The sequence below is a fragment of the Homo sapiens genome, chromosome 1 (genome assembly GCF_000001405.40).
Source record: "Homo sapiens chromosome 1, GRCh38.p14 Primary Assembly".
Taxonomy (NCBI): domain Eukaryota; kingdom Metazoa; phylum Chordata; class Mammalia; order Primates; family Hominidae; genus Homo; species Homo sapiens.
Window position 1 is genome coordinate 37,834,847 of NC_000001.11, and position 23,469 is coordinate 37,858,315.

Sequence of the window (23,469 nt, forward strand, 5' to 3'; positions counted from 1 at the left end):
GACTGCAGGAAGAACAGGTTTGGACATGTTAAGTTTGACAAGAGTAGATGATATCTGGGTGAAGACGTCGAGTAGGTGGTTAAATACACAAGTCAAGACACTGATCTTGACCCTGACTTCTTCCCGCTCACTAACAGATATACAGAGAAGACATTTTAACCTTTGATTGTGATACACAAACAACTGTTGAAGTTCTATGGTACCCAGATCAAGAGACAAAAACACTACACACCTCTGATCCATTGTGTTGTGGAAGTGCATTGTATGAGTGTCCTTTGTTATCATGACCTTTCATGTGACTTTTGAGACTGTATTGAGTGCTGAATGTTTTCTCACAGCCATTACTGGGGCAGAAGAAGGGTCTTTCACCTGCAAGAATAACAAAGTAGTGTTAATTTACCATAAAGTCATTTCACTGGATTAAGAAATCTACCTTTCCCTAATAGAGGTAAGTAAGTATTTTTAAGAGAGTTTGGGTAACAGTTGTTAAAAGTTCAATAAATTACACATTAATCATCTCAGTCCTCAAACTCAATGCTGAGCAAAGCATTGGGAATGCCTACTGCTGGGAAGTTTAAAGAGTAGATTTGTTTCTCACAGGTTGTTTTTTTTTAGAGTGTCTCTGTATTGGTTTCATCTCTTAAGGTTGAATACCTGAGGTCCGCCTCTGAAAGAAACCCAAACATTCTAGGTAAGGCTGAGCTAATTATGCTCACCTGAATATATACAGGATCTATATCTCTGTATATCCACCTAGCTCTACAGGTCTCAATGGAAAATTGATAGTTACAGGCTTGATGAAACAAAAATTGGCCTAAACTCACCAGTATGTGTACGAACGTGAGTTTTAAGGTGGTGGCTTGCTGCAAATGCTTTTCCACAGCCATCGTGATCGCACCTAAATTTGTTAAGGAAAGAGAAACAGGAGTCATTAGCTAATAGATCTTTATCCTGAACGTCTTTTTTTTTTTTGAGATCGAGTCTCGCTCTGTCCCCAAGGCTGGAGTGCAGTGGCGCAATCTTGGCTCACTGCAAGCTCCACCTCCCGGGTTCATGCCATTCTCCTGCCTCAGCCTCCCGAGTAGCTGGGACTACAGGTGCCCACCACCACGCCCAGCTAATTTTTTGTATTTTTAGTAGAGACAAGGTTTCACCATGTTAGCCAGGATGGTCTCGATCTCCTGACCTTGTGATCCGCCCGCCTCGGCCTCCCAAGTGCTGGGATTACAGACGTGAACCACTGTGCCTGGCCTCTGAACATCTCTTATAAATAGAAACTAAAACAAATATTCAGAACACTAAGATCAGATCAATGACACTGGTTTTAGAGATGGGAATGATGAGAGGTTCTTGAAAAAGTAAGGTGGCATATCTGGGATCAGAGAGAACTGAGAGCCCAGGATAAGTATTTCTTGTCCTACAGGTAAGGTCCATGTTGAGAGCCCTGACAACAAAAGTCTTTTGATGAATTACTTAACAGACCTCTGTTGACAGTGACAGTCCATATGAAAAATCTGCCAGTGGAACATTAGGAATATCAAGAGTAAGCAAAGTGGCTCTCAAATATGTACATGGCTTGCAATGTAACATAAGAACAAAATCAATCAGAAGATAGGCTCAAGTAACTTATCTATAATCTTGTGTGTCGAGATCTACTTCATTCTCTTTTACTGTCTTGATAACCAAAGCTAAAAGGAATCTTTCCCTCCTCAGAACTCCTAAGGCTTTTCTTTACATTTCTTTTATGGCAACTCTCATTTCCAATCTTATTTTCTCTGTGGATACATCTGGTATCTGCTCTCCTAGAGTGTAAACTACTTGAGTACAGGATCCACGTAGCTCTTTCTGTAGTTCCTGCACATAGCAGACATTCCTTAATTACTTATATGAATGAATGCATTTTCTTATAAACCAAAATATTTTATTTCTTTAAATAGAAAGCTTCTCTAAAGCATTTTCATTTTTAATTACATGCAATCATCATCATGTCTAAAGTCTCATTGAATATTCAAGAAAAATGCAGTTTTAATCATCACAAAAATAAATGCATGTGACTGGATAGAAATCAGAGTCCTCTCAGCAGCCTACGGGAAGGGGGGCGGCGGGGAATAACCTAAGCTTCACAGCATCCATCTGTAGAGTAACCAATTACAATCTAACTACTCTTGCCCTTAAAGGGATCATGACTCAGGAATGCATCTGTAACTTAAAAACACAATTCCTTTTTTTTCTGAGACATGGTCTCTCTCTGTTGCCCAGGCTGGAGTGTAGTGGCATGACCATGGCTCACTACAGCCTTGACCTCCCAGGCTCAAGCAATCTTCCCACCTCAGCCTCCTAAATAGCTGGGACCACACGCATGCGCCACCACTCCCAACTAATTTTAAAATTTTCTGTAGAGTCAGGGTCTCACTTGCCCAAGCTGGTCTTGAACTCCTGGGCTCAAGTGATCCTCCCACCTCAGTCTCCCAAAGCACTGGGATTACAGACATAAGCCCAGCCCACAATTCCATTTGATTGGCATCTAAGAGTTGACTGTCTCTAACGACTTTTTATTTCTAAGTACCCTAACAAAACGAGTGGTTTAAGAAGGAACAGGTAGCATATCTAATGCCTTGAATATCCCCTGCCAAAATTCAAATACATTGTTTATTTTTTTTTTATTTTTATTTTTTTTGAGACAGAGTCTCACTCTGTCATCTAGGCTGGAGTGCAATGGCACAATCTTGGCTCACCACAACCTCCGCCTCTCTGGTTCCAGCAATTCTCCTGCCTCAGCCTCCAGAGTAGCTGGGACTATAGGCATGTGACACCACGCCTGGCTGATTTTTGTAGTTTTAGTAGAGATGTGGTCTCACCATGTTGGCCAGGCTGGTCTTAAACTCCTAACCTCACATGATCCACCTGCCTCAGCCTCCCAAATTGCTGGAATTACAGGCATGAGCCGCCATGCCCGGCCTCAAAGACATTGTTTATGGGCAGTTTTTGGCAATACATCTATCTATATTACATTTAGGGGAAATCCTTACAAACTGATTATCTCATTAAAAATGTCATATAATCATCCCAAAGCTGATTTTGAATACCTGTTGAATGCCTGGAATCATGCTATATACTATGAGCAGAGAAGAAAGTAGATAACCCAAGTCCCTCCTTCAAGTTTATAGTAAATGTATCTATTAGATATACATATGTTGACATATATGAATAAAAATGGATGCTCCTATATGTTTGTGTATACACACGAGATATTACAAAGCAATAATTTGAACAAGTAACAACTGCACCACTAAGCTAAGCATCCCTACCTCTCATTTCCTCTCTTGTCTCCTCATTCCCTCCCTCCTTGATTCTTAGGTAGGTATCCCTCCTCTGGGCTTAAGGCACTTTGGCCATCTTGCAGCCTCAGATATTATCCACAAATTTGTGGTTTTTTGTCACCAGACAAAGGTTCTTAAGAAGAAGGCCTGCTTCGGAGTATTTCTCTAGCACTAATAAAAGTACCCACCACATAACTGAGTTTCAACAAATGCTTCTTGGAAATAAATGGGAAAAAATGAGGCAGAAAGGCCATCATCCACAGAGTAAGGATGTTCTTGGACTCCATCAGCACCCCTCTAATCTGCAGTGGTTGGTTATAGCTGTCCTGGGGTGAGCTAACACTGCTAAATCAAGAGCTAGTAAAGGGAGTTTTCTTTCTTTTTTGAAAAATTCCAGAGTATATCAAGACCCCCAGCTGAAACCTGGTCAGTGACAAATAGAAAACAGTAAGACCTACCGAAATGGCTTTTCCCCTGTATGAGTTCGAATGTGCTTCCTCAGATCACTGAGTGTGGTGAAGTATTTGCTGCAGCCTTCAGATTCACAGTTAAACGTTTTCCCTGTGTGAAGCCTCTGATGTGCTTTCAGCCTGCAAAATATTCCAGAAAAATTCCCTTTGTCATAAAATTCTTTTTTTTTTTTTTTTTTTTTTCTGAGACAGAGTTTCGCTCTTGTCGCCCAGGCTGGAGTGCAATGGCGCAGTCTCGGCTCACTGCAACCTCCTCCTGCTAGGTTCAAGCGATTCTCCTGCCTCAGCCTCCCAAGTAGATGGGATTATGGGAGCCCACAACCACGCCTGGCTAATTTTTGTATTTTTAGTACAACGGGGTTTCACCAGGTTGGCCAGGCTGGTCTCGAACTCCTGACCTCAGGTGATCCGCCTGCCTCGGCCTCCCAAAGTGCTGGGATAACAGGCATGAGCCACTGCGCCTGGCCTCCCTTTGTCATAAAGTTCTACAGAGCCTCCCCATGCCAGCTTAATGTGCTTCAGGATCAAGTGCGTAAGAATTCTATACCCATAACATATTAGTATCCAACATATTTTGCCCCAAAAGAAACGCAGAGAATAGCACAGTGGTATGAGTGTGACTCTGGAGACAGACTTCCTGGGATTCAAATCCTGACCCCACATCCTGCTTGGATGGGGAAACTTAAGCTAGTTATAGAACCCCTCTGTGCTTCCATTTACTTATCAGCTATTGTGGGGACTAGCACTTGGAATCATGCCTAGCACACAGTGAGTATTTTTAAGTGTTAGCTACTGTTATTTCTATTACTTTATACTCAATACTGAAGACTATTAAGTCTCCTGATACAAACGTGAAAAAGAGAATTGGCTACTGAATAGGCCACTCCCCATTTCTCAGGATAGAAAAGTCCTTCAAGCTTAGGTAGGACAGAAGCCTTAGCACAAAGATCCTGAGCCAAGGGGAGATAGTACTCTATGCCAAGCACTGAAATGCCCAGGCCAGAATGCTGCTCCATGAGATGCAAATCTAAACAGAAATGTACTGTCGCTTCTAACCAGCCCAAGATACGTCCATCTTTAAGTAACAGGTTTCTCTAATGCATTTTTAAATTTTTTTCTTTCATTTTCTGAGATCTGGCAGAAATGAATTTTACGTAGTTGAACACAGCTGCGCTCTTTTAAAGCCCTGAAAGTGAAAACAACTCCTCTGCAAGGGGAAAGAGCTCTGCCATCACAACAAGGTCAAGGTCAGAGGCTGGCAGAGCATTGGAGACGAGACTGACCTGTACAGTGTGTTGAATGCCTTCTCACAGCCCTGCACGTCACACTCAAATGGCTTCTCCTTCGTGTGCACTCGCACGTGGATCCTGAGGCTGTAAGAGGTAAGGAAGGCTTTGCCACAGCCCTCCTGATTACAGACAAAGGTGTACTCTCCTCGGTGAGTCTTCTGGTGGGTTCGCAGGTTGCCTGCTGTGCTGTAGGTGCGGGGACAGCCCTCAAAGGTACATTGGTACCGCTTTACCTGGCAGAGAAAAGATACCTCATCAACAGGACAAAAATGCTGCCCAGGGCTTAACTCCCCCACCCAGAGCTCAGCTCCCAAGAGATGCTGTGGACAATACAACTGGGTTTTCATCATAAACACAGAAAACAGCCTCTAGCAGCAAAGTGGAAAAACCTTATTGTTGATCAAATCATACCTGGACAACACATAATGATTTATGGGGAAGAAATAAGTCTATATGTAGATGAATATTCTAAATGAACATAAGAATGTTTTCAGACTCTATATACATCTACCCACTAAAAGTACACTATACTGTTACAGCTACCTGTATTCAGATAAGATCTTAACTTTGTTTTAAGGCTTGACTAAACACCCTGACCTCCAGAACTACAACTTGATTGGAATTACCAATATTAAATTGAGTTTAAAACATCTGGAAATTTACATACTTAATCATCAAACATATTTCCCTAGATTGTTTCCACTGCATATTTTCAAGCCTACAAAATGACAACAACATATTGCAAATTTCTTGGAAGATTTGGTGATGTGATAATTCTCAAACTGCCAGCCTCTTGTTTCCTTTCACCATCAAACTTCTTGAAAGGGGAGTCAATTCTTCACCTCATGGCAGAAGGTTAAGAAAAAAAAAAAAGCTGCTTCTCCGACAAATATCAAATGGCAGATGACTCTAGTGCAGTGGAGGGCCTGGAATGGGAGGCCCAGCAGCTTCCTCAGAGACTTTGGCAGGGATATTGGGGCCAGGGTCATGGCTGTGGTTGGCCTGGAGCCAGGGCTGAGGCCATGGAGCTCTCAGAGGCAAGGCTGAGAACAAGGAGTGGATGCCCATCACCAAGCTGGGCTGCCTGGTCCAGGACATGAAGATCAAGTCCCTGGAGAAGGTCTAGCTCTTCTCCCTGCCCATTAAGGAGTCTGAGATCATTGACTTTTTGCTGGGGTCACCTCTCGAGGATGAGCTTTTGAAGACTACACCTCTGCAAAAGCAGACCCGCGCTGGCCAGCACACCAGGTTCAAGGCCATCGGGGACTACGGTGGCCACATCGGTCTGGATGTTCAGTGCTCCAAGGAGGTTGCCAATGTCATCCAAGGGGCCATGATCCTGGTCAAGCTCTCCACTGTTCCTGTTTGGAGAGGCCACTAGGGGAACAAGATCAGCAAGCCCCACGCCGTCCCCTGCAAGGTGACAGGCTGCTGTGGCTCTGTGCTGGTGTGCCTTATCCCTCCCCCACCCCACCCAAGGCAATGGCATCATCTTGGCCCATGCCCAGGAAACGGCTGCTGATGGATGGTATTGACAACTGCTATACCTCTGCCATGGGCTGCACTGCTACCCTGGACAACTTCACCAAAGCCACCCTTTAGGCCACCTCTAAGACCTATAGCTACCTGACCCCTGATCTCTGGAAAAAGACTGTATTCACCAAGTCTCCCCGTCAGGAATTCACTGACCACCTCATCAAGACCCACACCAGAGTCTCTGTGCAGAGGACCCAGGCTCCAACTGTGGCTATAACACAGGAATTTTACACAAGAAAAATAAAGTGAATCGAGCCTGTTTAAAAAAAGAAAAGAAAAAGAAGAAGGCAGGGTGCGGTGGCTCATGCTTGTAATCCCATCACTTTGGGAGGCCAAGGCAGGAGGATCACTTGAGGCCAGGAGTTTGAGACAACCTGGGCAACACAGCAAGACCCTGTCTCTACCAAAAACAAACAAAACCACAAAATCAGCCGAGCATGGTGACACATGCCTATAGTTCCAGCTATTTGGGAAGCTGAGGTAAGATTGCTTGAGCCCAGGAGTTCAAGGTTACAGTGAGCTATGATTGCTACTGCACTCCAGCTTGGTAGACAGAACCAGACCTGGCCTCAAAAAAGAAAAAAAAGGGGGAAAAAAAACTAGATAAACAATAATAGAAATAAAAATATTAATAAAGAAAATACCAAAATACAAAAGTTAGCCAGGCGTGGTGGCACATGCCTATAGTCCCAGCACTTAGGAGGCTGAGGTGGGAAGATCCACTTGAGTCTGGAAGGCTGAGGCTGCAGTGAGCTATGATCACACCACTAGACTCCAGCCTAGATGACAGAAAAAATAATAATAACAATAACATTTTGGGCTGGATGATTTAGAAAAGAAAGAAAAAAAAGAAAAAGAATTTTTAAAAATTTAAAAAATGGCAGTTGACACCATTTCCATCAATGCCCATGTATTTCTTAACCAGTTGGCAAGATGGCTTTACTGTAAGAAATTATTCTCTTAACTTCCCGGTAGTCAGACTCTTTCGTCCTTCCCTATTTTCCTTGACTATTCGCAAACATGTCTCATTGATGATACCCTCAATGTCTGAAAACTTGTCCTTCACAACATAGTAATGCCTTGGGGCACTCTTTAACTCCTTCTCTGAGATACTTCTTTCCCTTAACCTCTAAGTGTAGGTGTAGGGATTCCCAATTTTGTCTCTCATCTCCCAAAGATCCTCATATCTATACTGATGCGGTAGAAGAAGCACTAGACTTGGCAGCAGAAGACTGAATTCTGGCACTTTTGTTCAACATAATTTTTTTTTTTGTTTGAGACAGAGAAACCAAGAACAATGATGTCACCAGAGCTAAAGGAAAAAGGGTCTCAAGGAAACATGATCAACATGTTAAATGTCAGAGAAAACAAGGAAGATAAAGACTGGGGAAGTGACTGGATCCAGCAGCTAGGAATTCACTAATGACTTAGCAAGACTAGTTTCAGCGGACTACTGGGGTCAGGGTCCGGATGCAGGTGACTAAATGAAAGGTGAAGTGGAGGTAGAGGCTAGAGATGAAGTACGGCAGCACAAGTGAACTCCTGAGTTGATAAAGTCTTTTTGTTTTTGTTTTTAAGAGACAGGGTCTTTGTTGCCCAGGCTAGAGTGCAGTGGTGTATTCACAGCTCACTGTAACTTCAAACTCCTGGGCTCAAGTGACCCTCCCTCCTCATCTTCCATAGTAGCTGGGACTACAGGCATATGCCACCACACCCAGCTAATTTTTAAATGTTTTGCTATGTTGCCCAGGTTGGTCTGGAACTCCTGGCCCCAAGCAGTCCTCCTGCCTCGGCATCCCAAAGCAATAGGACTACAGGGTTAAGCCACCACGCCTGGCCTGGTTTTTTTTTTTAAAGTAAGTCAGTTCTTGAACATATTTGGAGGCAGAAAAGTCCTGGAAGAAGGAGAAGTTGAGGATTTAAGGAGGAAAATAAAGAAGAGCAAGATTTAAAAGCCCGGGAGGAGGGGAAAGCCTCAGGTAGGAGAGGGACATTTAGTTTCAGAGAAGAGATTTGAGATAAGGATGAGTGTGACTCAAGGATGGACAAAGTTTTCTGTAAAGGGCTAAACAAAAAATAGTTTAGGCTTTGTGGGCCTTATGGTCTGTGTCACTAGTCACCTCTGCATGTTAAAGTAGCAACAGACAATACGTAAATGAACCAGCAAGGCTCTGTTTCAAAAACGTTACTTATGGACACTAAAATTTGAATTTCATATACCATGATATACTCTTATGATTTAAAAAAATCATCTAAAAATGTAAAAACCATTCTTAGGCTCAAGGGCTGTGCAAAAACAAGTAACTGGATGGATTTGGCCTGTAGGCCACAGTATGCTAACCTCTGAAACCTGTGGTGGTAGGGTAGTAGGGAGGGCCCCTACTCCTCCTGTCTCCCCTCCCACCCCTCCCCCATCCATCCAACCCCCATCTGATCTTGCACAAGTCTTTAGGTTCCTTAGTCAAGTGCTCTCACCTGTTCATTGTGTTCTCTTTCCACTGCCACACAGAAGAAGCTCCATAAATATTTGTTAAACTGAATTCCTTATTGAATCACTAATCCAGGCATTCTTCTCACGTCTCAGGACCTAGTTTTGCAGTCATTTGTTGCCAGATTAAGTCTAAAACAGTTTTCCACACATTCCATCTCTCTGCTCAAATGATAAAGTCCCAATTCCTTAGCCTAACATTCAAAGATCTTTCCAGGGCTGCTTCTGTCTTCTATCACATTACTCAGTAAGCAGCCAAACAGAAGACTCTGTCTAGGCCTATAAGCAACAGTACACTCTTACCCATTTGCAAGACTGAATTCCTACTTCCCTGACTTCGTTCTCTCCTTCTTCTCCACTGGAAATGCCTAGTTCCTTCCTTCTCCGCTTTTCTGAGTCCTTCTCTTCCTTTAACGCGAGCCTCAGGAACTACACGCTCCTTCACCATCATTCCATGTCTACATGACAGTGCCCTTCTCTAAATGCCAGTAATACTTACTATACCACTCATTTGACACTTAGTTTATACTGTTAATTATTGTCTCATGCATATATTCTGACTTCCCATCAAGACTAAAAACCTCCTTTGTGCTGCCAGATAGAGAATTGAAAATGATCACTCACCACTAAGGAGAAATGGGATTGTGGATGCTGGGATAAAGGAGTCTGCATGTATCAATCATAAAGCTTACAACAATGCTGAATGATAAGAGCAGAATTTCACTCTTAAGATGCTACAGCTTTTGTTAACTTTATAAGTAACTGCAATAAATAATTAACTACCCCCTCCTGTCTCCCTGCCCTGCCAAACTCTACTCCCATTCATGTTTTTTCATTTGCACAATTCAAGCCTCCACTAAATGACCCTTCCTCTAGGAACTCTTCCTGACTGACCCTTACTTCTATCCCAGACTAGAATAGGCATCCTAATTATAGGTTTTCAGAGCTTCCTGTAAAGCACATGATAAAATTAAGATGCAATAATTACCTGATTAAACCATTTACATCATTATGTTTCATGGCTAGGCACAACAGTTATCTGAAAAACAACAGGCACTAAATAAATATTTGTCCAATTAAATGGGTGAATAGCTACTTCCCGGCTGGACTGTAAGCTCCATGAGAGCAAGGACTACGTTTATCCTGTTCACTGACACAACTTCCGGGACTAGCATTGTGGAGAAGTGGCGCTTGATTTATATTTTTTGAATGAATGAACAAATGAACAAAACCAGTGGGACTGAAAAGGTAGTGACAAGGACTACAAGTGACATGTGACAAAGGAATAGTTTCAAGGAGAATGGTCAAGTAGGTCAAATGTAACACAGATGATTGATAAAACACCTCTTGGATTTAGCTGACTCACAAAGTCATAATTGCCTCAGCACAACCAGCTTCACTGGAATGGTAGGAACAGAAGTGAGAAAGTGAGACAATGAATATCAACTACACTTTCCAGAAATTTGGCTGAGGAGAGAAAGAGAGGGGAGGGGGCGGATAGCAAGTTAGAAAAGGACACAGATTGGGGAAAGTATTTGTTTGATTTTTATTGATTGATTGACAGATTGACTGATTGAATAGATGGAGTTTCTCTCTGTCACCTAGGCTGAATGCAGTGGCATGATCTCAGCTCACTACAGCCTCAACCTCCTGGGCTCAAGCAGTCTATTTCAGCCTCTTGAGTAACTGGGACTATAGGTATGTACCACCACGCCTGGCTAATTTTTGTATTTTTTGTAGAGATGGGGTCTCACTATGTTAGGCCAGGCTGGTCGGGAACTCCTGGCCTCAAATAAATTTCTCACCTCAGCCTCCCAGAGTATTGGAATTACAGGTATGAGCCACCACACCCGGCCTGAAAATATTTGTATTTAAAAGTGGGGGAGACAGTTGACTGTCAAAGCAAATGCGTGCTCCCCCCATAAAATGCTGAATAAATGAGTAATCTCTTGCCTCATTTGGAGGGAGAAGAAGAAGTCACTATTCTGTGTCTTTCAGAATCATTTTAAAATAGCACAAAATTTCACAAAAAGGGAAAACTAAACCTCCTCAAACTGGATCAGAGCAGGAAATTGCAAAAACGTGTAGGTTTTCATGGTTACATACAGGAGGTATTGCAACATTTGGAACATTTCAATACAACTAAGGTTTATCATTCATACATCCTAAAAATTATGTTCCAGAAATTATACTGTCCTGGGTGCTAGGAATACATATAAAAATTGTCCCTACTCTCAAAGAGCTCAAAGTCAAAAGGAAAATCAGACAAGAACAACATGGTTTGAGAAGTTTTACTGATAACAGATATTCAGCATACTATGGGAATATACCAAAGAAACATGTAACAGACTTCAGTGACCTTAGAAAGGCTTCTTGAAGGTGGTGATCCCCAACCTGAATTTAAAGACATGAGCAGCTGGGTGATGGAGTGAGACCCCATTTAAAAAAAAAAAAAAAAAAAAGCTTTCCTCCAAAAGAGCTTCAGGCTCTAAGCATAACTTTAATCTTCCTGAGTGGCCTCAAACAGCTGTCGATTACCCTGTTAGGGAACATGGAGGGAGCACAGGTTAGGTGCACTGAGGATAACATCTCATGCTAGTAATGGGCACAAAGTAGGAGCTTTCAGAGAATTGATGCTGATTTACAAAGTGTTCTGAGCAGTTCTAGAATACAGAAATATTTAACAAAGATGACTGCCTTGTTAAGATAACAGAATCAGAGAAGAAAGGTGAATGGGATAAGCAAAAGTGAGAAAATAAAACACTGTGACCCCAGAAGGCAAAAATTTAAAAAAATTAGAAAAAGAAAAAAGTCAACACCTGTGGAAAGAAAGAAAAAAGAAAAAAGGCTGGGTTTTTCCTGGAGGAAAAGAAAGTGAAAGTGAGAAGCAGATTTTACACACATTTACAGCCCCCTATTCCACAAGAGAGTTCCTGCTTCTGGGCACCTAGCACATGAACATTCTCATAAATAAATGACTGGCCTGGCTGTTATGGCTATAGAAACTGCCTTTTCCTCCCCATCACTAGTGACTTCCCTTCCCTCTCTGTGTCCGACTCCATTCCCCACACCGGCACTGGTATCATTTCTTCTCCATAATGGACAACCAAAAAGCTCAGAAATATAAGAACCCTGAAGATCTCATTTCGACAGGCCTCCCATCCCCCACCATGAGAGCTGACTTCATCCAGCTGTTCCCCACACCTCAAACCTTTACCCTTACAGAACAAGTACTGCTGTCCCTTCATTTCTTAGCCCTTTTCACAGCCAACAGGTCTCAATACCTGATTCTTGTATCTTTGCAAAAGTGGTGTGTGATGGTAGAAAGCATAGGCTTTGGCATCCAGAAAGTCCTCAGTTCAAATCTCGGTTCTACCAGTTGCTAGTTGTGTGTTTCTAAGTGTCAGTCTGTCATCTGTAAAATGGGGGCTAATAGTATCTATGTTATAGGATTGCTAAGAAAATTAAATACAAAACTATATTAAAGCCCATAACATAGTGATCGGTACATATCAGGTATTCAACAGCCAGCCATCTTCCTCTCTCCACCACCATTGCCAGCATAATAGAAGTCCTCATTCTTTGAGAGCCCTTAGCTCTGCCTGGTGCCCCAAATGCCCACCATGGAAATAATTTTCAGTGGCCTGATACTAAGTCAAAGGAAGCCAAGTATAAGAGAGAGGAGTGGCAAGAGCTGGTATCCACAGAACGCCTGCAGGGGACTACAGACAGGTTCTCATTTTAAAACACTGTTGTATGGGCCAGTGAGGTGGCTCATGCCTGTAAGTGCTCACCTAGCACTTTGGGAGGCTGAGGTGGGAGGCTCACTTGAGCCCAGAAGTTCGAGACCAGCATGGGCAACATAGCAAGACCGCGACTCTCCAAAAAAATAAGAAATTAGCCAGGTGTGGTGGCTGAGGTGGGAGGATCGCTTGAGCTGGTGAGGTCAAGGCTGCAGTGAGCCGTAATCACTCCACTGCACTCAGCCTGGGTGACAAAGTGAGACCCTGTCTCAAAAAATTAAATGAATAAAACACAGTTATAAATGGCGGTTTATGTTCCATGGCAGTATTAATACAACAGTTCAGCTAATTAGGGGTTACCAAGATTTCTATGGGCTATCCTGGAACCTAATCACAATTTATATGTAAGCTTGTCTCAAGGAGAAAACACCTCCCAAAGAGTGCCTAACAAAGAACATTTTAACCTCTTGTTAAACTGGACATTACCTCTTTACCTCCTTCAAGAACCATGGGGGTCTATGAGGAAAAGAAAGCAAATGAACATCCAGCGAACAATCATGATGCACCAGACACTATGCTAAATGTTTTATACATATTACATATGAATAAATCTCATTTAATCTTCACAAAATGCAATGGGATATTTCTATTTCAATTTTATAAAAAAGGAAACAGAGCAGCTTGCCCAAGGCCACATAGCTAGTACATAACAGAACAAAGCTGGAACCTAGGTTGAAACTATCCCTTTGCACATCACAGAAGAAACAAGTAAGCCTGATTTAAATATGAGGAGAAAAAAATAAAATTCAGGTTCTTTTGCCAATGTCATATAACAGCAAAATGTTGGCAGTACTTAATATGTACAACCTATGTGAAATGTAAATCGAGACCTATAATTCCTATAGCACCAAGTTTGAAACCCAATTGTACACAAAACCAGTCTAGTCCCTTTTCCAGGCCAGTGGACCTGAGTGATGGAAATGCTGATTACTAAGGAGAGGTATATAATACACATGCAGACACACTGATAAAATGGCTTCATATGGGGGTAAATGGAAAATGCTTCTTGCTCTGGATTCCTACAGAGCCTCACACTTACAAGCCATCAGAGTTCAGAAGGGAACCTGCAAAGAAATGTAATCACAGTATGCAAAGACTAAAAAGTCGGTAGTTCCCCTCTAGGAGAGTCAACAACATCTTGGTTTGTCTGAGTGGATCATTCCACTGCCTGAGGAATTTATAATGAGGCATGAGATTGGAACTAGGTCTCCCAAAGTAAAGGACATACATTGCAAAAAGGCTCCAAAACACTGGAGTCAGATTTTTCCTGTTATACTTAAAATCTGTCACACTAAAAGAAATAACTCTCCTCTTGGAATGCCACTGGCCATGCAATTAGTTCATGGTGTGTCTAGAAGCAATATACCAAGCAGCCTAAAAACATTGCTGTAGGCCAGGCGCAGCAGCTCACACCTGTAATCCCAGCACTGTGGGAGGCCAAGGCGGGTGGATCACCTGAGGTCAGGAGTTCAAGACCAGCCTGACCAATATGGTGAAACCCCATCTCTACTAAAAATACAAAATTTAGCCAGGCCTAGTGGCACATGCCTGTAATCCTGGCTACTCGGGAGGCTGAGACAGGAGAATCTCTTGAACCCTGGAGGCGGAGGTTGCAGTGAGCCAAGATCGTGCCACTGTACTCCAGCCTGGGCAACAGAGCAAGCCTTCACCTCAATTAAAAAAAAAAAAAAATTGCTGTAACTGTGCTTGTTGGTAGAAAATGATACCTTTCCTAATCAATGTGCTGGAATACTTTGGTGCATCATGTAGAATAAATTTTGCATACGATTCCTAGGGTTTTTTCATGCTCCTTGGCCAACTACTCTATAGAAAACTGGCAAGGTCAGTTAGCCATGGAGGATACATCACGTCACCAATGTAGTGCAGACAGAGGTAGATGAACAGGTAACTAGACCGTCCTGGCAGGTTCTATGGAAGGGCACAGATTCAAGAATGGACTGCACAAACCAACTAAAGAAAACACAGTTGCCAGGTGTGGTAGCTCATGCCTTTAATCCCAGCAGCTCAGGAGGCTAAGGAGGGAGAATTGGTTGAGGCCAGAAGTTCCAGGTTACAGTGAGCTATGATGATGGCCTGGGCAAACATAGCAAGACCCAGTGTCTTAAAAAAATAAAATAAAATACGTAAACAAACAAACAAACAACAAGACGCAGCTGCTTCGAGACTTGGAGTAGAAAGGCCTTAAAGGGCCAGACATGGTGGCTCATGCCGGTAATCACAATACTTTGGGAGGCCAAGGTGGAAGGATTGCGTGAGCCCAGGATTTTGGAACCAGCCCATAGTGAGACCCCTCTCTACCAAAACAACCACCAAAAAGTAGCCGGCACAGTAGCACATGCCTGTGGTCCCAGCTACTGTGGAGGCTGAGGTGGCAGGACGGCTTGAGCCTGGGAGGTTAAGGCTGCAGTGAGCCATGATCGTGCCACTGTACTCCAGCCTGGCTACAGAATGGAACCCTGTCTCAACCAAAAAAAAAAAAAAAAAAAAAAAGCTTTTGTTTTTAGGCAGAATGAAAATATTTTGATTAGAAATTTTGCAAGCTGGCCAAGTGCCATGGCTCATGCCTATAATCCCAGCACTTTGGGAGGTCGAGGCAGGAGGATTGCTTGAGCCCAGGAGTTTGAGGTTACAGTGAGCTACGATCCCACCACTGTAATCACTCCAACCTGTGTGACACAGTGAGACCCTGTTTCAAGAGAGAAAGGAAAGAAGAAAGACAGAAAGGGAAAAGAAGGAAGGAAGGGAGGGAGGAAGGGAATGAGAGAGAGAAAGAGAAAAAAAAGGGAGAGAGAAAGAGAGAGAGAGAGAGAGAGAGATCTCAAAGCTACCAAATCAGTAGGGAGACAGTAATGAAATAACAAGTATGAGAATAAGATACGTGAAATTCGAGTCAGAATGACCAGCGGCCTTGTGGTAGGAAAAGACTATCTGTGGCAAGGTTCTGGTTGGTTTATTTTTTGCGCAAGACAAGCATGAAGAAAAGAAAATGAAGTAATAGGTAAGCCAACTCCACACTATATGAAACAATGAAAAAACCAGGAGTAAACAGGAAATTCAGGCTAAAATGTGACTCAGAAAATAAGCTGCTTGGGAAGCCAAGAAGACCAACTAGTTATCAAATGATTTGATTTCTCAAGAGTAACACCTGTGCATGGAGGGAAAAGAAAAAACCAAAAACCAAGCTGAAAAAAAACGAAAGGAAAAGGAGTAAGGAAGAGCTAAAGGATCATGAAGTCTGTTATCGAGTAGTCATAAACATCAGCCTCTTCAGGCCAAATAAGTGGATTTTAATGCCAAAATAAAATCACTGCCAAAACAAAAGCTAAGCTAAGACAGTGCTTCAGGAAGGCAAGCCTCCTGAATGTCTGGTCATTAAGCAAGATTTTCGAAGACTAAAGCTACTGCTACTTCTCCTTCAATCTCCACCCAACCCCAAACCTACTGATTTCAAGAATATAGCATCTTCCACAAAGGTCTCATGGATAGCATGGAAAAATGTGGGTGAGAGGAAAGTGGAGTGAGCTAAATCCCCAGCAAACTGAACAAAGTGCTCATAATATCCTTGACCCTGTGCTATTCAATATGATTATCAATGATCTGAAGACAAGAATGGCAAACCAGACTTGCAAATAGAATAAACCAATTTGAATAGTACAAAGTGGAAAAGTGACAGCTTTTCACTGATTGCATAATCATTCCCTCTGTACCATCTCCTCCTCTTCTGCCTAGATCAGCATTTCCCAAAATGTGTTCCACAAAACACTGATCCCTGGAAATTAGATCTGAAAAATGGTTTCTCAAGTTTAAAGCATTTGAAAAATTCTGTGTTTTCTTCCTTCTTAGCTGTTGGCACATCAAAGGCTCTGAGAAGTCCTAATCAACAAATTTCTGTCTTGGTTTAACTTAATGTTTCCCGAACATTCGCTCATGAAACACTTTCACACAGTAATCACTGATGGAGGATGGCCTAAAGTTTAGGTCCTAAACTATGTCCAAATTACCTATGCTAAACAAAAATGATTCAATCTCCTTGAGCTAGCTACTACTGCCTCATCACTCTTCTTCCTCTAACTACCAAACTTATTTAAAAAAAAAAAAAAAAGCCAACTTGACATTTCCTGCCTCCTGTTTCCTCATCACTCACTCACTTCTTCATCACTCAAAACCTGGCTTCAGCCCCAGTGCTCTGCTGCAAGTCTTCTCATGATATGTGAACAACTGCACAACCAGCACAACTAAAGGCTTCTTCGGGGCTCCTCAATCCCTCTGCAGGGTCACACAGGAATATTCTCATTTGTTGACACTCTCTTCCTTCAGCTTCCACAACACTGCAGTCGACCCATCTCTTTGACTACTGTGATCTTCTTGGGTTCCTCTTTCTCTTTCCAACCCTTAAATTCTCAGGCCAACTCTTACTTCTCCCTTAAGTAAACTACCCACAGTTTGAAGGCCCCTTTCTACTACTATTCTAACTCCAAACCATTTCTTTGACCTCAGATACACGTTTCCAATGAGCTTTCCATTTGTTCATGTTACTTTTCTCCAAGGACTATACATTCAATACACTCCTACCAAACTCTTTAATTACCCCATCAAAACTTTTTCCTTTTCCCATCTTTCTTGATTCCTATGAATGGGATCACCATTTGGAGGGTGCGGAGAGCAGAGTTAGCCACTTTCTCCTCAGCATGCACACAGCACTTCGAATACACCTCTGTTAAAATATCTACCACAACGGACTCTTAACTGCTTAACTCTTCACCTAGATTTGAGCTCCATCAAAAAGCTGTGCTAAGACACAGCAGAAACTCAACAAATTTGGGAAAATGGATGAATCCTTTCAATCAACATGATTCAAAACCTTTTTTTTTTTTCCAACCAGATTCTCATTTTGTTGCCCAGGCTGGAATGCAGTGGCACAATCATGGCTCACTGCACCCTCCGCCCTCTGGGTTCAAGTGATTCTCCTGCCTCAGCCTCCCAAGTGGCTGGGACTACAGGCATGCACCACCACAACCGGCTAATTTTTGTATTTTTAGTAGAGACAGGGTTTCACCATGTTGGCCAGGCTGGTCTAGAGCTCCAGACCTCAACTGATCCACCTGCCTCTGCCTCCGAAAGTGCTGGGATTACAGGCATGAGCCACTGTGCCTGGCCTATTCAAAACCTTTGAATCATGCCCAACTCATGGCTCATTCATCAAACTCCAATAACACGTACGAAGTTCTCTCGTACTTCTACAAAAGTCCTTGATTCTTCCCATGAACAAGGCCACTATCCTTTCTTCAGATTTAAATGAAACCCCAAACATAAACTACAACTGTCTCCTAACTAGGCAAGAAGTCTCCAGTTTTCCTCTGCCTCCAAGCTACCTCTGCTGCCAGACCAATCCTTCTAAAATGCTACTCTAACCACATTCTCTATCTAACCACTCTAGCCTTGGCTTAGACACCTCCAATGGTTTCCCACCATTTCTAGGAGAGTACAGTTCAAAACCCATAGAAGGTTACCACTGCCTTCCATGTTTGGATCTTTGCTATCTTTCCATCCTTATCTCCTTCTACTACTATGTTCTAGTCTAAGGGTCAGCACACTACAGCCAGTGAACCAAATCCACCCCACTGCCTGTTTTTGTAAAGTCTTATCAGAACTTGGCCATGTTCATTCTTTATGTATTGTCTATGGCTGCTTTTGTGCTACAATGGAAGAATGGAGTAGCTCCAACAGAGACCTTATAGCCTGCAAAGCCCAGAATATTTACTATTTAGCCCTAAGCAGAAAAAAGTGTGCTGACTCTGTTGTAACAGGACAACTGGCTATTCCCTGAAAATGGCCTGTTTCCCACCTGCATTCCTTGTTTCATGCTGTTCCTCTCTCTTGGAAAAACCTTCTCCTGCTTTTTTCCTAAATTGTATGTATTCTTTAAGACCAGCTCAAACGCCACCTTTTTCACAAAGACTTCCCTGATCCCAGAATTAAGGGTGAGCTTCCCTGTGCTCACAGTGCAATATTTGTACCTCTCCTTCACATTTACCACACTGTGTTTGCTGCTATGATTATTGGTGTAAACAATTTCTGCTTCTATGCTATAAATCGACTACCACAATCATTTGCAACATCCACAGAGCATAACAGCATTTTGCTTTATAAATGTTTGTTGAGTTGAAATGAACCCCCCTACAAGCTCAAATATTGGACTGAAACCAACAAGATAAAATTTCATAGGGAGATATTTTTATTTTTTATTTTTTGAGATGGAGTTTTGCTCTTGTTGCCCAGGCTGGAGTGCAGTGGCACCATCTTGGCTCATTGCAACCTCCACCTCCCGGGTTCAAGCAATTCCCCTGCCTCAGTCTCCAGAGTAGCTGGGATTACAGGCGTCTGCCACCACGCCCGGCTAATTTTTTGTATTTTTAATAGACACAGGGTTTCATTGTGTTGGCCAGGCTAGTCTCGAACTCCTGACCTCAGGTGATCCACCAGCCTTGGCCTCCCAAAGTGTTGGGATTACAGGCGTGAGCCACCATGTCCAGCCGGGAGATATTCTTAATAAGGCTTACATGCAGGTCTCCATTTTCATTTTTGTTAGATCTGACAGCTGCATACATGAGAATAATCTAGAGCAGGGTTTCTCAATCCCAGCACTATCACTATTTTGGGCCAGTTCTTTGTTGTAGGGGGCTGTCCTGTGCACTGTAAAACATTTAACAATGTCTTTAACCTCTACCCACTAGATTCCAGTATCGCCTCCACAGTATGACAATACAAAATGTTTCTAGACATTGCCAAACATCTCCTGAGGGCAAAGCTGCCCGCAGTTAAGAAGCACTACTCTAGAAATTTCCAACTATAAGCTAACAGTAAGATGTTGCTGATAAAATGTAGACTATATAGTAATTGTAGTACAGTGTCCAGATTAAGAGATAAGAGCCATACTGTATTCAGTGCTAGTTGACTCACACTTATGAGACTGCGCTCAACTGCAGATTTTAAAAGGACTCTGGGGCCGGGCGCGGTGGCTCATGCCTGTAATCCCAGCACTTTGGGAGGCCAAGGCAGGCATATCCCCTGAGGTCAGGAGTTCGAGATCAGCCTGACCAACATGGAGAAACCCTGTCTCTACTAAAAATACAAAATTAGCTGGGTGTGGTAGCGCATGCCTGTAATCCCAGCTACTTGGGAGGCTGAGGCAGGAGAATCGCTTGAACCTGGGAGGCGGAGGTTGCAGTGAGCCGGGATCACGCCACTGCACTCCAGCCTGGGCAACAACAGCAAAACTCCATCTCAAAAAAAGAAGAAAAAAAGGACCTTGGAAAACTGGAATTCATATAATCAAAGGTGACTAGGCTGATGAGAGACTGGGGAAAATGTCACAGAGGGACATTTAAGTAAATGGAGGTGGTTAGCCTGTACAAGAGGAAGAAAAATCCATGATCTTCAAATAGCTGATGGACTGTTCTGTGGGAGAAAGTTTACTCAGGAAGGCAGATCTAGAACCAGTGGGCAGCACCTGCAGAAAGGCAGGTTTTGGTTCTATACAAGTAAAAGCTTTCTAACAATCAGAGCTGGCTAACAAATGTATTGGGTTGGGGTATGAAACACTCTGCTCTTGTTGTTCTGGATGTCTTCAAGCAGAAACAAGATTAACTGATGTCAGGGATGCCATAGGGAGATTTCTGCATAGGGTAGGAGGTGGGACAAGATGGTCTCTCTAAGGCTAGCAAAGGAAAAGTGATATGCCATCAATAAGCCATATGCAATTTTAAGACCTCAACCACAGCAAAAAAGATATTCCTTGCTAAATCATTCACCCTATTTCTGTTTGGTAACATCTTAGTCCTTGGTACTGTAACTACTAGTGACTTATTTTTTTCTAATTGACCTGTAATAGTTCCTGGATGGGCCGGGCATGGTGGTTCATGCCTGTAATCCCAGCACTTTGGAAGGCCAAGGCAGGTGGATCACCTGAGGTCAAGAGTTCGAGACCAGCCTGGCTAACATGGTGAAACCTCATTTCTACTAAAAATTCAAAAAATTAGCTGGGCATGGTGGTGCGTGCCTGTAATCCCAGCTACTCAGGAGGCTGAGGCAGGAGAATTGCTAGAACCCAGGAGGCAGAGGTTGCAGTGAGCCAAGATCGCACCACTGCACTCCAGCTTAGGCAACAAGAGTGAAACTCCATCTCAAAAAAAAAAATAGTTCCTAGATAATGTATATCACTACCTTTAAACCAGAACTTTTATTCTGCTAATAATAACCACTAATATAATTTGTAAAATGCTTTACAGTTTTCAAAACATCCTGACATGCATTAGCTTACTCACATTAGCTAAACATGAAAATGAAAACTTATTTTAGATAACCTGCTCTCATTTACTGTCTCTTGCCTGAATTTCCTTTTTTTTTTTTTTTTTTTTTTTTTGAGACTGAGTCTCTCTCTCTCATCCAGCCTGGAGTGCAGTGGCACGATCTTGGCTCCCTGCCACCTCCACCTCCCAGATTCAAGTAATTCCCCTGCCTCAGCTTCCCAAATAGCTGGGATTACAGGCACCCGCCACTATGCCTGGCTAATTTTTCTATTTTTAGTACAGATGGAGTTTCACCATGTTGGCCAGGGTGCTCTTAACCTCAGGTGATCCACCTGCCTCGGCCTCCCAAAGTGCTGGGATTACAGAAAGTGTTAGGATTACAGGCATGAGCCACTGTGCCCAGCCTGAATTTCTTTCTTTTTTTTTTTTTTTTTTTAGATGGAGTCTCACTCTATCGCCCAGGCTGGAGTACAGTGGCATGATCTCGGCTCACTGCAACCTCTGCCTCCCGGGTCCAAGTGATTCTCCTGCCTCAGCCTCCTGAGTAGCTGGGATTACAGCCATGTGCCACCAAGCCTGGCTAATTTTTGTATTTTTAGCAGAGACAGGGTTTCACCATGTTGGCCAGGCTGCTCTCGAACTCCTGACCTCAAATGATCCACCCGCCTCAGCCTCCCAAAGTGCTGGGATTACAGGCGTGTGCCACTGTGAAATAAAAGTTCATTAAACATTCACTAAGATAATAAAACATATTCCAGCAGATACTCATCTCTAAAACAAATCATTTAAACACAACCAGGAGATAAGCCAAATATAGTTATTTCTTCATCAAATAAGCAAACTCCAGTTATTTCCCTGTAGATAAGCTAAATAGTTATTTTAGCACCAGAAACATGGGTCTACTTAAGTGAAATTTCTGTTTTATTTATGATTTGGGGAAGGAAATTCGAGAAATTACAATTTGATATTCCCAAATTTCAATGTGGCTATACAAACCAAAAGTTCCAGAAGCAATCACAACAAAACCTGAGGCATATGTTGTTGATAGCAAAACTACTTAAGTCCTAACCCCATGCACTCCTTTACTCCCCAGCTAAAATTTGCACCAAGAATTTTGTAAGGACTTGCCCCAAAACCAAACTAGGCCCTCACTGACTGCTTTACTTACTTCTTTACGTTTTGTTTCCGGACATTCCGACTGCAGAGTGAGGGTTGCACCTTCAATATTTCTTGGCATGGGTGTGGAACCAGGGTTTATTGTCAAATGAATCTGATCTGGTGAGATAATGTGCTGCACATAACCCTGGGACATTGCTTCATGATCTATCAGGTGAAAGCCCTCTTCACCCCCTACTAGAAAAGGCAAGTGTTCTCCGCACTGTCCGTCGTCATCTTCATCCTCCAAAGTGCCAGGGTCCTGCTCAATAAGAACAGTGGTCCTATCATAAACAGTTCCAGATGAGGAAGGCACCAGTCCGTTTTTATCCACAAACCTGAGCATTTTATCATCGGGGGTCAGCTCATCTTCCTCTGCCTCAAAGTAGATGATGTTGTTGTCTGGACTGTGTTCCCCCATGGTTCAGTTGTGCTCAGCCCAGTTGTGAGAAATGAAAACGTAATGACTTGTCTGCAACAGAACAAAGCCAGAGTTAGAGTCATACCACAAGACCGACGGACCTCCTCAGCAACCACAAGGCTCATTTTCCCTCTCACTTAAAGAGCAAGCCAAAGCAAATGAAAAACCATCCTTGGGAATAATTTTTTTATTTTAACTTTAAAACCATCAAGTCATTTTTAAAGAAAAGCAATGCCGACTGGGCGTGGTGGCTCACACCTGTAATCCCAACACTTTGGGAGGCTAAGATGGGAGGATCGCTTGAGGCCAGGAGTTTGAGATCAGCCTGGTCAACATAGTGAGACCCCCATCTCTAATAAAAAAAAAAAAAAAAGAAAAAGAAAGAAAAGCAATGCTTTTCAAAAACTGAATAAGTTCATAAGACCTTCTGAATACGCCTGTCAAACAATTTGAAACTTGGTCAAAATATTTAAAGGGGACAAAAGAGCAAACAGAACAGCAGCTGCTGAAAGGCTGAGTTGCTACAAATCTTAAGGGAAACTCCATCCATTCAAATATCCTCCAAATCAGACCACGAGGCAGTAAATGGTTTCATGCAGTTTATGGTAGAAGGAGCAAGGCTTTGGAGGCAGAGTCATCTACCTACAAATCCTGTCT

General features: G+C 42.8%; 1 protein-coding gene and 1 pseudogene across 5 annotated transcripts in view; one reads left to right on the plus strand and one right to left on the minus strand.

Moving 5' to 3' along the window:
- Window positions 1–23,469, minus strand: part of MTF1 (metal regulatory transcription factor 1) — a 50,019-nt gene that overhangs the window by 25,273 nt on the left and 1,277 nt on the right. For 4 of the 5 annotated variants that reach the window (NM_005955.3, XM_047421170.1, XM_011541491.3 and 1 more), the window contains 5 exons: window positions 22,405–22,863; window positions 5,074–5,312; window positions 3,779–3,910; window positions 825–898; window positions 233–369 (listed from right to left, as the gene is read on the minus strand). In NM_005955.3, the coding sequence (NP_005946.2) occupies window positions 233–369; window positions 825–898; window positions 3,779–3,910; window positions 5,074–5,312; window positions 22,405–22,812 (990 nt within the window). In that variant the 5' untranslated portion in view covers window positions 22,813–22,863. Of the gene's footprint in view, window positions 1–232; window positions 370–824; window positions 899–3,778; window positions 3,911–5,073; window positions 5,313–10,091; window positions 11,047–22,404; window positions 22,864–23,469 lie in introns of those variants that run through there. The other variant, XM_047421173.1, reaches the window with a different exon arrangement.
- Window positions 5,999–6,834, plus strand: RPS2P13 (ribosomal protein S2 pseudogene 13; annotated as a pseudogene).